The sequence below is a fragment of the Homo sapiens genome, chromosome 9, assembly GCF_000001405.40.
Source record: "Homo sapiens chromosome 9, GRCh38.p14 Primary Assembly".
In the NCBI taxonomy this organism is placed as follows: domain Eukaryota; kingdom Metazoa; phylum Chordata; class Mammalia; order Primates; family Hominidae; genus Homo; species Homo sapiens.
Genome location: NC_000009.12, coordinates 66,759,920 through 66,775,118, shown reverse-complemented (window position 1 = coordinate 66,775,118; position 15,199 = coordinate 66,759,920). Strand labels below are relative to the sequence as shown.

Here is a 15,199-nt window from a genome sequence, read left to right as displayed (position 1 = left end):
GTTTTCTACACTGTCATGCCACCTTTGAATGGTTCCTTTGTTTTAGCCTTTTTTGTATACTCGTAAACCAATCAGCATGCAGTCCCCACTTCTGAGCCCATAAAAGCCCCGGACCCAGCCACGCTGGGAGAGAGACCACCTGACTTCAGGTCAGGGACCACCCTCGCATCCCCTCTCCGCTGAGAGCTGTTTCATTGCTTCATAAAACTCTTCTCCGCCCTTTTCACCTTTCCATTGTCAGCAAAGGGTACGAAGAAGGCAGTAACACCATAGCCCTCCACCCCTCCCCCACTATCTGTGCCCAGTGGCAGCCCCTTGCCATGAGAGGCAGTGCAGGGCCAGGCCAGCCAGGGAGCCTCTGGCAGGAGCAGGCAACAGGACTGACAGAGTTGTTAACACACCCCCCATTCATTGTTAACATGCCCGTTTGTCAGGCTGCTGACGGTGGGACTAAAAGAGCTGTTAGCATGGCTGTAACATCCCCTCTGGGGCTTCAGAGTCGAGTGCTTTCCTGTTTGGGCGCCACCAAGTTCCCTTCATCTGCATGCCAGAGTTCACCCCCGGAGTCACTTCCAACAGGCCTGATGAAGCTGCAGGCCCCAAAGGGAGCCCGCTCCTGTGCCAGCACTTGGAGTTGCTGGCAAGATGAGGCACTCACTTGATCACACACCCCCTCCTACTGGGGCTGAGCATGCAGTCTCGGTGGCTGCAGGATCCCCACCAGAGTGCAAGCCCAAGTGGGCAGGGCACCTCCTGCCTGGGGCAGAGCTAGGCATGGGCAGGGGCATCGCCAGCCAGAAGTCTGCAGTTGGAAAAGTGTCCGAGAAAAATCCTGCGTCACTTTGGAAGCAGTCTTCCTATCCTAGAATGCCAGAGGGCAAGCATCTGAAAGATCTGGAAGGATGAGGCAGCAAAGGCCAAGATGTGAATGTACACTGCCCCTGTCAGAGGTGATCGAACCAGAGCGATTCCATCTTGAATAGGGGCTGGGTAAAATAAGGCTGAGACCTGTGAGGCTGCATTCCCACTAGCTTAGGCATTCTAAGTCAGGATGAGATAGAAAGTCCGCACAAGATACAGGTCACAAAGACCTTGCTGATAAAACAGGATGCAGTAAAGGAGCCAGCCAAAACCAAGACGGTGACGAAAGTGACCTCTGGTCATCCTCACTGCTCATTATATGCTAATTATAATGCATTTCCATGCTAAATGACAGTCCTGCCAGTGCCAGGACAGTCTACAAATGCCATGGCAACATCAGGAAGTTACCCTCTAGGGTCTAAAAAGGGTAGGAACCCTCAGTTGCAGGAATTGCCCACCCCTTTCCCGGAAAACTCATGAATAATCCACCCTTTGTTTAGCATATGATCAAGAAATAACTGTAAGTATAGTCAGTCGAGCAGCTCATGCCGCTGCTCTGCCTATGGAGTAACCATTCTTTCATTCCTTTATTTTCTTAATAAGCTTGCTTTCACTTTATGGACTTGCCCCAAATTCCTTCTTGCAGGAGGTCCAAGAACCCTCTCTTGGGGTCTGGATAGGGACCCTTTTCCAGTAACATCCCCATCACAGCCCTAATCACTAGGGGACCCTCTAGGCTCTTCCTGCCCTCCCCAGACTGTCTCCCTTAAACATGCTGGATGCAGGGGTGCATCAGTGACTCCGCTGGTGCCTCCAGGAAAATAAAGTGTGGACCTCTGTGGACAAGAAACAACCCAAAGTAAAGACGACTCCTCACAGGCAGGATGGATATCCAGTTGTATGTATGTCGGTGTGCTGGGGCCGGGAGGCTCCTAATAACAATGTTACCGCTGCTTCACGTGGAAGAAAGCTGAGGCTCAGAGAGATTAAGGAACTTGTCCAGGGCCATACCGGAGTCCAGGCCTGTGTGCTGTCATGGTCTGAGGTTTGAACTCCAACCGTCTAAGGAGCTGGGATAGAACTGGGGAGGGAGTGTGGTGGGTGGGAACAGCGGGCAGATAGATGCTGGCTGGTCTCCGAGGGGCCTAGGTTCTGCCAGAGCGACAACAGGTGAGGAAAACAGGCCTCGGGGTGGAAAAGTGAATACTCAGAGGATGGGCGCAGACCCGGAGGGCCGTGAAAGGTGACAGGGTTATTACAGTCTTGGTTGCATAAGGGGGTAACTAGCGGTTTCTTGGCTGAAAAAGAGGAGGGGGGCTACAGCTTCCCCCCTCCAAGGGCGGAGCACGCAGCCGCTCAGCAGGCTGCCACACAGGGTCCCCCACCTCCGCAGCTGGGGGACCTGAACTCGCCAATAGGAGGTTCCTCCTGCACGCGCGGCTTCACCCTCCCTCCAGGGCTCCCGTTGCATTTCACTCCCTGCCTAAGGTCGCCCGCCGGTGAGGGCGGAGGAGGAAGAACTGCAGCTCCTGAGGACAGAATCTGCTTCAAGGCACCCTGACCGGCGCCCAACCCCACCCCGGCTGCGGCCCGCCGCCCTGATCCCCATCGCGCTGCATGGTCTTCCCTTCCAACACCGAGGGCGCTGCAAGGACGCCCTGTCCCTGCCACTCATTCATATTAATGACTCCTCCCACCATGTTTTCCTCAGCTGTGTTCCGACCGCTCTGCCCGAAACATTTTCATCCCACACTCTTACGGCCACCTCTCCCCAAGTTCCCTTCCGTCTGGGCAAATCTTGTCCTTTACCCGGCACTGGGGTCGCTCCAGAGCTTTCAAACCAGCTTCCCCAGGGCGCTGTGCAGGGCCGGGCCCCTACAATTTTTGTATATTGATCTTGTACCTTGCCGTCAGGCTGAACTTGTTTATTAGTTCCAATAATTTTTTTTAGTGGCATTGTTGGGGTTTTCTATATAAAGGTAATGTCATCTGCAAGTAGAGCTAATTTTACCTCTTCCTTTCCAATCTGAATGCCTTTACTTTATTCTTTGTTTAATTATCTTATCTTGGCTAGAACCTCCAATACAATGGTAAATAAAAGAGGTAAATGTGCTGCAGTGAGTGCTTAAAGTTTTATGTTGCCTTAGCATCCATTTTCAAATATGTGTTTAACTTTCTCAAACCAGAAGCAGGGTTCAGTCACCCTTGATGCAGTTTCCTGTACTATACCCCCCAAATGGCTCCAGATGGTGACCAGAAATAAAAACTTGGAGGCATCTCTGTCTCGTAGCAGGCTGGGCTCCCAGCTTTCCTGCTGATTCCTCTAAACAGACCATTTAGACACTTTTCAGTCACAATGTGACTTCCTAGCACTAGTGCCTGCTTGCTTTAAGCCCATCAATTTAAAGCTCCCTGTTTATATAATGCCCTGGACCCAATAAAGGCATTGACCTCCGTGTGTGTGTGTGTGTTTTCTAAGCATGCTGTGTGCCCCCCAGGGAACTTTCACACTGTGGTCATGTCATTGAAGCCACATCTGCAATCTGACCCATGCAGGTGGATCTCCTGCTGCTGCGCTTCTGTCTGGGTCTCTGGTGGCTGCAGAAACAATGGCTACAAGCTGAGCAGATAAAGAAACTCAGAGAGTTCATTCTAAACAAGTGAACAACCTCTTCTTCCTGATCTAAGGCAAAAAGCATTTAACCTTTCATCATTTATTTCTCCACAAGTGTGGCATGTCATCATTGCCACTCACTGACCCACACACTCATGGTTCATAGCCTGAGAAATAGTTTGCAAAGGCATATTTACCTTCATTGAAACCTTAGAAAACATATATAAAGGCAGTTCAAAAATCAACCTTAAAATATGCCATAAAAAGACAGAGAGAGGTAAGAAGATACTCATGAAATCAGTCATTGTCTCAAACAAGAATAATTTTAGAGAAAGTGGATTGGGTCCTTCTTTCCCTGGTTCTCTTGCTTTTTTCTATTCTCTTCTGCGAGCAATAATCCTTTTGTCTGGCTTCTTCATTATTTCAAAGGAGAAAGTACAATATGAGCATGCATTCACCTATACTGTCAATTCCAGAAAAAAATAGCAGAGTTAAATATAAATGGACCTTAGTCATATTTAACCATTGCTCTCCTTGACAATCCAAAGCTTAATAAAGTACATCTCTTTCCATTTAGAAATTCATATATTCATACTCATACTGTTAACCTACTAAAATAAAAAAGTAGATGGAAATAATATACATGGAGCTAAAGTCAATATTAAATAGTCCCAGACATATGGTTTGTGACTAATTATTAAACATAATATATGAATTCTTCCGGTGGGTTATACAATTTTAATTGGTTGATTAAAGGACCATTCTATTCTTCAAAGGAGATAATCATGCTAAATTTTAAGAAAAATTACAGTGGAGGTATTCATTTATTTATGTCTTTATAAAAATGTAATATAAAATGTTTATGCAAAGGAGGCCTGTGAGAGAGGGGAGTGTCAGGGTTTAATAAGATATTTGGAGTAGTTTCATCCCATGACCACACATGTTCTGCTTTACCATCTGCAATCTCATTAGCTGTCCATGAAGATGCTGTGCTGAATGTAGACCTGAAATTTAGACATAAGCACTCACATATATGAAATATACATTGCTAGAGGAGCAAATAAACAAAGAAGAAAAACATTTTTTGATTTGTGGCTTCACTTTTGAACAATAACCAAAAATATTCTACATGCTCGAAGGAAAAAAAAACTCATTTTATTCTTATGAGACCAAAGGATTTTATTCTTACGAGACCAAAGGAAATGACAACAGAAGGTGAAATACAATGCAACCAGCCTGGGAAATCTTTCTGCTTGGTTCAGCTGGGCCATGGACAATTTCAAAACGAAGCAATGTGAAAACAGCACATTAATGAATGGATGGATAAAGAAACATGGAGAGAAGATACATTACTTTGGCTACCAGAGGTACAAATGCAAAAAGATTCTCCACTTTTGACTAGTAGAACTGATGATGGATTTAAAATCAGCTGCACACTGAGGGATTTTTGTTCAAGTGTAACATAAATTGTGTTACAATATGAGGATAAAATATGTTATTTTGGGCTATGTTTTAGTGCATAAACACTAACAACATTAATGAAATAATAATTTACTTGAAAGATGTTTAATCTATTTGTAAATAGCTCTGTCACCTGCTGAATGGCTTTCATATGTTTCAAGTAATATTTAATTTCTAAAGAGTATCCTAGACTTTACTCTGAGGATTTATTATATTAACTCTCTCAAAGAGCCCTTATATCGTAAAGAGAGTGTTATCTAGAAAACAAACCTCCTGGGTGTCACACGTTGCTAGTTATGATATTGCTTAAGGTAAAATGGGAAAATTACAGCCCAAGGCTATTTCCCAGTTACCTCTGCTTAGGGACAATAACTGAACGACCCCACAGAAAACACGTTAGGGTAGAAGGGGCCTGTTTTCCAGGAATTCCTGCTTCTTCATGTTAAGTACCCTCCCAACCAAGTGAAAGCGAAGACTTCTTAGTAGAAAGGCAAATTCAGCAAACTACTTTCCTTTTTTATCTGAGATAAAAATTAAGTGAGTCTTTGTGTTTTTGTGTATTTATGTTCTCAAGTTTTGCCCTTGTTTATTTTCTGTTCTTTATTAATGAATCAGTAGTTCCATTCTTGAGTTGTTTTGAATTATTTCACCTGGAAGAAGACAAATTTAAGAAGTCCTAGTAAGTAAGCATGAAAAGGGGTCTTAAATGAGTATCAGGAATCAAATGCACTGAGTCCTCGGGTGAGTATTCAACCCCTGGGGACTAAGTAATCCTTTCCACTGCCTCTATTTTATTTCTCTTGAAGAACATAAAAATCTAACAAAAGTGCTTAGCTATCCAAAATTATCAAATATTGAAAGAATGATTTTTTTTCCACATCAAACAAAATTTAGTTAAATGGTAGTTTCCACATAGATATAAAATGTTGAGCAGCATTAGAGATTAAGCCTGTGAGGTGGGGGAGATAAAGAAAGGTTTAGTGGTGGTACAATTAGCTGAGGAGTCAAGAGAAATAGAAAACAAAAAATCTTCTATTTTGTCTTCTTTGGATCATGAATCCATTGTTATGTTTTATTTTTATTAAACAATTATTTCCCATGCTGGAAGAGTGAAAGAGTTGAGCCATCCTAAGGAACTTAAGGTGTGACAATTTACAGAGAAGAATAGTTGTAACATTGCTCATTTACTCTGAGTATAAACATGAAAAATAGTTTTAAAAATACGGTGAAATAATTTATTCCACAGAGAAGTCATGGAGCTCTCTTACACATCATATTGTATACTAATAGCTTTGGGTGGGTGGTCTTCAGGTGATAGCACAGAAATGGAGTACGAATTTGCAGGGAAATGACACAAATTGAATCAGGCTTCAGTTTACCAGCTACTGATTGCTATTAACAGGGCATTTTGATGTGAGTCTCCACTAAGCATGTGAGTTAGAAAATAGCTCTAAAGACCATCCTTGATGGATCATTACTTTGAGATGCAAACCCCAGATTGCATTATTAAAACATCTTGGAATCAATTCTGTGCATTTCCAAATAAGCTCTGGCATGCATATGACCACATCATTAATACAGTTTACTTCTCTGGATCCTAGACTCTTTTTTTTTTTTTTTTTTTGAGATGGAATCTTACTCTGTGCCCAGGCTGAAGTGCAGTCGGCTCACTGCAAGCTCCGCCTCCCGGGTTCACGCCATTCTCCTGCCTCAGCCTCCTGAGTAACTGGGACTACAGGCACCTGCCACCACGCCTGGCTAATTTTTGTATTTTTAGTAGAGACGGGGTTTTGCCATGTTGGCCAAGCTGGTCTTGAACTCCTGACCTCAGGTGATCCACCCACCTCGGCTTTGAGAACAAGAACACTATATCTGCTGGTCTCAAACTCTTCACCTCAGGTGATCCACAGTCCTCAGCCTCCCCAAATCCTAGGATTACAGGCGTGAGCCACTGCACCCAGCCAAAAAAACTGATGCTATTTTCTATACACCTTGCACCTTATGGATGTGCCTACCAGAGATCTGGATTATAACCCTACCTTGTCACCATAAAAAATTCATTCCTATTGGACACTGACATGAAAGCCTTATGTTACGTTTTGTGATTAAGCAGTTTTCTCTTACAGCTTATTTACAAGGGAAAGAGAAAGGAAACAAGAAATAGTTTCAAAAAAACAGCCAAAATTTCAGTAATCATTAAAATCAACACAATTAAATACTCTTTTTTGGAATGAAATTTCGCTCTTGTTGCCCAGGCTGGAGCACAATGGCACAATCTCAGCTCACTGCAACCTGTGCCTCCCGGGTTCAAGCAATTCTGCCTCAGCCTCCTGAGTAGCTGGGATTGCAGGCGCCTGCCACCACGCCTGGCTAATTTTTGTATATTTAGTAGAGACGGGGTTTCACCGTGTTGACCAGGCTGGTCTTGAACTTCTGACCTCAGGTGATCCACCCGCCTCGGCCTCCCAAAATGCTGGGATTACAGGCGTCAGCTACCACTACCAGCAATTAAATACTCTTTTTAAAAGCCTTGAGGGAACCGTGTAAAGATCTCAAAACTCTAAGATATTTTCACATCCTGTCCCCACATTCCAAGGTTAGGAAGATTGAGAAGGTATTCATTTACTATTAGTTATTTATTTTATTGTTATTTATATTAAAAATCTCAAGGCAAAATATTAGGTGATTATCCCAAAAGATTATATTAAAGCGTATTCCATAATTAAATATACATTTCAAATTTAGAAGTTAGTTTTAAAAGCTCATCAGTTAAGGTCTGGAACATAAAAAACATTTCATAAAATTAAGGTTTCGGCCGGGGGTGGTGGCTCATGCCTGTAATCCCAGCACTTTGGGAGGCCGAGGTGGGTGGATCACGAGGTCAGGAGATCGAGACCATCCTGGCTAACACAGTGAAACCCCATCTCTACTAAAAATACAAAAAATTAGCTGGGTGTGGTTGCGGGCGCCTGTAGTTCCAGCTACTTGGGAGGCTGAGGCAGGAGAATGGCGTGAACCCGGGAGGCGGAGCTTGCAGTGAGCCGAGATCGCGCCACTGCACTCCAGCCTGGGTGACAGAGACTCCATCTCAAAAAGAAAAAAAAAAAATTAAGGTTTCACTGATCCTCTGTCCCAGCAGTTCTAATCCCACGAGAACTAAAAAACATAGGTTCACATGAAAACTTATGATAGTTCAAGGCATCTTTATTTCTAACATCTAAACATCCCAGCTGTCCATCAATAAGAAAATGGGCTAACAAATGGTATACAATGGAACAGTACTCACAATAAAAAGAATCAACTTTTTTTTTGTTTTTTTTTTGAAGGAGTCTCACTCTGTTGCCCAAGCTGAAGTGCAAGTGGTGAGATCTCGGCTCACTGCAAGCTCCACCTCCGGGTTCAAGCGATTCTCCTGCCTCAGCCTCCGGAGTAGCTGGGATTACAGGTGCCCGCCACCACACCCGGCTAATTTTTGTATTTTTAGTAGAGACAGGGTTTCACCATGTTGGCCAGGATGGTCTCAAACTGCTGACCTCAAGTGATCCACGTGCCTGGGCCTCCCAAAGAGCTGGGATTACAGGCGTGAAGCCACTGTGCCTGGCCAAGAATCAACTTACTGATAAACACAACAAGACAGCTGAATCGCAAATAATAGTATGCTGAGGGAAAGAAGCTTTTAACAAATGCCTACCTGCCTGCCCTCCTTCCTTTTCTTCTTTTATGTTTTTAACCTGGCTTAATTTTCTTGGCTTCATTATTTTAAGCAATTTTTGCAGTGTTGAAAAATTTGCAAGTAAGTTTTCAGAAACAGTTAACTTCAAAATCCTACACATGCTATACATGAAGACAGTAAAAACATGGATGGAAAGAAATAATCAGTTTATTTACATTTTCTGTTTATATGATAAGTAGTAATTTAGCTGAGGTTGACAATTCATTTAAATGAGATAAAAGTCATTTACATTGTCTCTGTGGCTGTTTTCACGATACAAAGGGATGCAAAGGTAGGGTGTTACTGAGCAAACAATGGGCTTGCTGCCTAATGTACATGGAGGCCAAGACCATGGCACTGGCTTTTGAGGAAAAAAAAGCTTCATTGCAAGTGGACTGGCAAGGAGACAGGAGGAAGTGCTCCAATATATCACCCCCAGCTGACGTTTGGGTCGGGTTTTATAAGCATAGGCTAATGAGGTGTGATCTGATTGAATTCTGCAATGAGATGATGCCAGGAGGCATGATCTGATTCGATTCCACAATGGGCTGATGCCAGAGCTCAATTTGATTGGATCCTGGATCCTTCCATACTGCGTCTGCTTCTTAATTCAGTCCCTGCTCCTTGGTCTTCTCCTTGGTCTGGGCACTTCTGTTCCCCTTGTGGTTGCATACTTGGTTCATCTGGGCATGCTCAGTTTACATGACCTTCAGCCTGAGGGCTCAGACCAACTCATAACTTTGTTGGATTAAAGTTTAGCCAGATTTGTCTGGCGCTGTTGCAGGTAGAGCAGTTGTGACAGAGACTATGTTGCCCTCAAAGCTGAACATATTTACAGTGGTGCAACCTTATCCACAGGGGATTCCTTCCAAGATCCTCAGTGGACACCTGAAATCTTCAGTAGTACAGGACACCATACATATTGTGTTTCCTTTACATATATATTTATAATAAAGTTTATAAATTAGGCACGGTAAGAGATTAACAACAATAGCTACTAATAACATAGAACAATTCTAACAATAAGCCAGCATCACTATTCTTGTGCTTTGGTGCCATTATTAAGTAAAATGAGGGCTCCTTAAACACAACACTGTGATACCTCAACAGTCAATCTGATAACTCAGAAGGCTACTAAGTGACTAACGGGCAGGTAGCGTATAAGGCATGGATATGCTAGACAAAGTGGTGATTCATGTTCTAGGAGGGACACTACTCAAAACAACATATAATCTAAACTTATATATTATTTATTTCTAGAATTTTCCATTTAATATTTTCAGACCACAGTTGACCACATTTAACTGAAACCACAGAAAGTGAAACCATGGATGGGGGAACTACTCTATACCATATCATCTGTCACCTTACAGAAACTGTTCACTGATCCCTTTTGTAGACTAAAGAGTCATAAAGATTTCTCACTATGTGAGATAGAATAATTTTTAAAAGCGTAAGTTTCAGTTTACACTTTTAAGTTCCAAGTTCCCTCTATGACTGATCATCTGACTTTGCATGAGTCACACAAGCTGAGTCCAGCTGTCCCCAGCCACTGAGATGCAGATACTAACAAGCACCTCTACTCAGTTCCCAATCTGTCAAGTGTGCAGTGAGCATCTAAGGTCAAGAATACATTTCAATGATCACAACAGCTGGTGCTGAGAATACCATCAAAATATAAATAATGGCCTTGACAATGTAACTGAGAAGACTAGTATATTTGAAACATGGGAGGCAAACTCAAGACAGAATATAAATACATTTAATTACTAAGTCACGTAGTAAGTTTTGGTATATCCATATAGTGGAATATTTTAGCAGGCATTAAAAATGATATTTTTCGGCCAGGCACAGTGGCTCACGCCTGTAATCCCAGCACTTCAGGAGGCCGAGGTGGGCGGATCACGAGGTCAGGAGATTGAGACCATCCTGGCTAATACGGTGAAACCCTGGCTCTACTAAAAATACAAAAAATTAGCCGGGCATGGTGGTGGGCGCCTGTAGTCCCAGCTACTCGGGAGGCTGAGGCAGGAGAATGGCATGAACCCAGGAGGCGGAGCTTGCAGTAAGCCAAGAAGGCGCCACTACACTCCAGCCTGGGCGACAGAGCCAGACTCCATCTCAAAAAAAAAAAAAGATATTTTTCAAAGAAATACGTTTATGGTGGTTTGGTTTTAATTGAGATACATAAATACTGCTTCAATTTCTGTAATGGCTGTGAGATGTTCCTGTTTTAACTCCCTTCTTGGGAAACTATTTCTGTTTGCAGATGACATAATCCTATATCTAGAAAATGCCATCATCTCAGCCCAAAAGCTTCTTAAGCTGACAAGCAACTTCAGCGACGTCTCAGGATACAAAATCGATGTGCAAAAATTACTAGCATTCCTATACACCAACAACAGGCAAGCCAAGAGCCAAATCACGAATGAACTCCCATTCACAATTGCCACAAAAGAATAAAATACCTAGGAATACAGCTAATCAGGGAGCTGAAAGACCTCTACAAAGAGAACTACAAAACATTGCTCAAAGAAATCAGAGATGACACCAAAAAATGAAAAAACATTTCATGCCCATGGATAAGAAAAAAACAATATCATGAAAATGGCCATACTGTCTAAAACAATTTATAGATTCAATGTTATTCCCATTAAACTATCATTGATATTCTTCACAGAATTAAAAAAAACTATTTTAAAATTCACATAGAACCAAAAAAAAAAAAAAAAGCCCAAATAGCCACAACAATCCTGAATGAAAAACACAAAGCTGGAGGCATCACACTACCTGACTTCAAACTATACTATAAGGCTACAGTAACCAAAACAGCATGGTACTGGTACAAGAACAGACACATAGACCAAGGGAACAGAAACGATAACCCAGAACTAAGACCACAGACTTATAGCCATCTAATCTTCAACAAACCTGACAAAAACAAGCAATGGGGAAAGGATTCCCTATTTAATAAATGGTGTTGGGAGAACTCTGGCTAGCCATATGCAGAAAATGGACCATATAGAAAAATCAACACAAGATGGGTTAAAGACTTAAATGTATAACCCAAAATTATAAAAATCCTAAAAGAAAACCTAGTCAATACCATTCAGGACACAGGTATGGGCAAATATTTCATGATGAAGATGCCAAAAGCAATTGCAACAAAAGCAAAAATTGACAAATGGGATCTAATTAAACTAAAGAGCTTCTGTACAGCAAAAGAAACTGTCATCAGAGTGAACAGACAAGCTACAGAATGGGAGAAAAATTTTGCAATCTATCCATCTGACAAAGGTCTAATATCCAACATCTACAGGGAACTTAAACAAATTTACAATAAAAAAACAAACAACCCCATTAAAAGGTGGACATTCTTTTCACTCTAGGAATCTCTGATTTGTCTCTGGCACTTTCAAGAATTTGTATTTTTCTTTGTCATCTGATGATTCATTAAAATGTATCAAGGTGTTGGAGATTTTTTTTTTCATACTGCTTGTAGATTTTTTTGCTTTCCTTCCTAAATTCATGTTCTTAGCCTATTGTGACTCTGCTATATGCAAGAAGTCTGGCTCAGCCTTCCCAACATTTTATGTGTCCAAGGCCTACTTTTACTTTCCCCTGAGTAGTTGTTAATACCCCAAACTCTGGGTAACCCAGGTCAGTTTCTGTTCCCCAGGCAACTCTAGCTCCTGTACTGCTTTTATCTATTTCTGGATTGCCATCAGGGCTTCCTTGAGAGCTTCACATTTACTTAAAAGTAGACTTGATATAATTTCCTGATATTTTGTAGAGCTACAAGGCTTTTTAGGAAACCCAGTTTGGCCAATTGACAGAAATGGAAGTCCAACTTTGGTGGGAAAACTATTATTGTCAATCACTTTATATAGAATGAAACAGTGGTGCAGAGACATGACTTTGAATTATGCAAGGTCAAAGTGCCAACATACTTCAGATGTAGAACTTAAAGTCAACAAATCTGAAACCAACGTTAATGTGTTCCTCAATACCTCAGTGAATACAATTACGGATAGCAAGGTGAGTAACCTAAAGCAAAAACAAGGGACTACTTTACTCCTTGTGTTTCGTCCTATTCCATAACATAGTTTGTGTTCTTGGAACTATAAACTTCGTCTTTTTAACTACTTGCCACATGGTAAAACTGACAATCATGAAATATGTCACGTTATCCTGTGACTTAGAATGTCTGGTGGGGCATCACTCCACTCTTCTGGAGAGAACATGTATGACAGTTTGAAACATTCAAAATGTGCTGTTCTTTGCAGTCAGGAAAGAACTTCAGGGCAGGACAGAAAGAAATCAGTCACAACATTTCAGATATTGGTGTTAGAAGGAGTTATTTAGGGAGTTATTTAGAGATAAGACATACTTCCTGGCTCTGTTGAAATCACATTGTGTAAGAAGCTGCCTATTTCATTAATACATAAAGCCAGCCTTCCTTTACAAGTAGAGGCTACATTATCCCTGATTATGCTTTATTTTTAAAACGTGAACTTGAGGAAAGAGACTCAGGCCTGTATCATACACTTTCCTTAGTTTTTGTTTTGTCAGAAGCATATTATTAACAAGTAGTCTCTTTCAAAAAGACAAGATACAAACGAGTAGAAAAAAATCCGTTCTCTTATCTCATGATGGTTAGATTATTTAAGAGTTGAAGTGATTGCTATGTCATTTGCATAAATTCAAGGACTTTTATTTATTTATTTATTTATTTATTCATTTTTGAGATGGAGTCTCGCTCTGTCACCTAGGCTGGAGTGCGGTGGCGCGATCTCGGCTCACTGCAAGCTCTGCCTACCGGGCTCATGCCATTCTCCTGCCTCAGCCTCCTGAGTAGTGGGACTACAGGTGCCCACCACCACACCTGGCCAATTTTTTGTATTTTCAGTAGAGACGGAGTTTCATCCTGTTAGCCAGGATGGTCTCGATCTCCTGACCTCGTGATCCGCTCACCTCAGCCTCCCAAAGTGCTGGGATTACAGGCGTGAGCCACCGCGCTTGGCCAAATTCGAGGACTTTTCTCTCTCAATTGCTTACAATTAAAAATTTTGTAGTAGCACATGCTCACAGATTTGGGGCTTTCAGAAATGTCTTTTCAAACTAAAAACTTTTAAAATAAATAATATTGCAGATATTTAAAATAATAATATTTCTAGATTGCAGAGGAAATACAAACTCCCAATTAATCATACCAAATATATTCTATGTTCTTTAACTTCTGGTAGAAAAAAAATCAGATTTATACTTTATATCTTCCTGTATTTTAGAAAATAGCAGACAATGAGAGAAGATAATTCTCTAATGAGATATTTGGGATCCAACACGGAATAAATGTCTGTATCTTAATTTTAAATTTTTACTATATAATTATTGATATCTTTTCCTAAAACGGGAAATCCCTTACTCTAATTTTGAGATTGATATTTAGAATAATTGCTAAACTAAATAGTAGACTTGAAAAAGCTTTGCTCATAAAATTCTTACAGATTTATTTTATTTTACAGAAGTGGTAATGGTAATTAACAAAAATTCTTAAGTGTAATAAATTCATTTTGGTAGATTTTGGTATGTAAATGAGAAAACAGTCTTCTAACTATAACAAATTATTTAGCTTAGTCTGTCATATAAAATTCAGTGAAAAACTAAAAAAAAGTAACAAAAAACTGAGCCTATTCAAATTATATGTAAAGTTTGTGCACAGTATATAAAACTAAGTTAAGTAGGCTTACAAAATAACACTTCATATAGTATTTTGGGGAAACTCTTTCTCCAAGAGGAGAAAAAATAGCCAAATAGGAAAGAGAGTGCAAGGTTTTTAATCAAGTGTGTCTCTTCCCTTGGCTTGTGTGGGAAGATTGTAGATGGGATTACTAGGATCAGATTTAGAACACTGATCTGATGTCAATGACCTAAGTCAGCATAGCCAGCAAAGTAATATTTCCAGATAAAGAGAGAAAAAAAATTCTCCTAGATAAGAAAAAAACAACAGGGTGCTCTCAAAACCAGCACTGTAATCACCACTGAGCTAATTAGTAGGACATTTAAGGCCAAGGCACCATGGAAAGGCCAGAAAGAGACAAAAGTCAATAAAAATGGTCACTGACGACAGAGTCACAGTGCCTGGCTGACAGATGGTGCTGAAAATCCCTGAGAGATGAGGACGACTTCAGATAAGAGCGGTCCAGGGAAGATACTCAGTCATTGACAAAGCACAATGGGAAGGGTCAGTAAAAAGATCAATAACAGAAGGAAACAGCTGCCACATTCATCATTCTTAACGTCAAGGTTGACATTGGATAAATGGAGTTGGCCTTTTTTTTTCTTTTTTTTTTTTACAATAGTTTAGTGCAGAAACCTCTAAAAGGAGCTTGTACATGAAGAACTGAAGTGAGAAGCCTAGCCATTTGTATACCTTTTAGTAATAGAGACTGAATATTAAAACAGACAGTGGCCAAACCACGTACGACAATGGAACTCTGACCCACAACCACTGCAGCAACCAGCTTGGGAAGGCAAACCACAATCTCTGC

General features: G+C 41.2%; 2 annotated features.

The window, feature by feature from the left end:
• Nucleotides 487–987: an enhancer, noted in NCBI's record as "H3K4me1 hESC enhancer chr9:66111538-66112038 (GRCh37/hg19 assembly coordinates)". NCBI's record gives its function as "activates a minimal SCP1, AML or CMV promoter by ChIP-STARR-seq in naive H9 embryonic stem cells {active_cell/tissue: H9 hESC(naive)}" and the evidence as "EXISTENCE:reporter gene assay evidence [ECO:0000049][PMID:30033119]".
• Nucleotides 3,146–3,693: an enhancer, noted in NCBI's record as "NANOG hESC enhancer chr9:66108832-66109379 (GRCh37/hg19 assembly coordinates)". NCBI's record gives its function as "activates a minimal SCP1, AML or CMV promoter by ChIP-STARR-seq in naive H9 embryonic stem cells {active_cell/tissue: H9 hESC(naive)}" and the evidence as "EXISTENCE:reporter gene assay evidence [ECO:0000049][PMID:30033119]".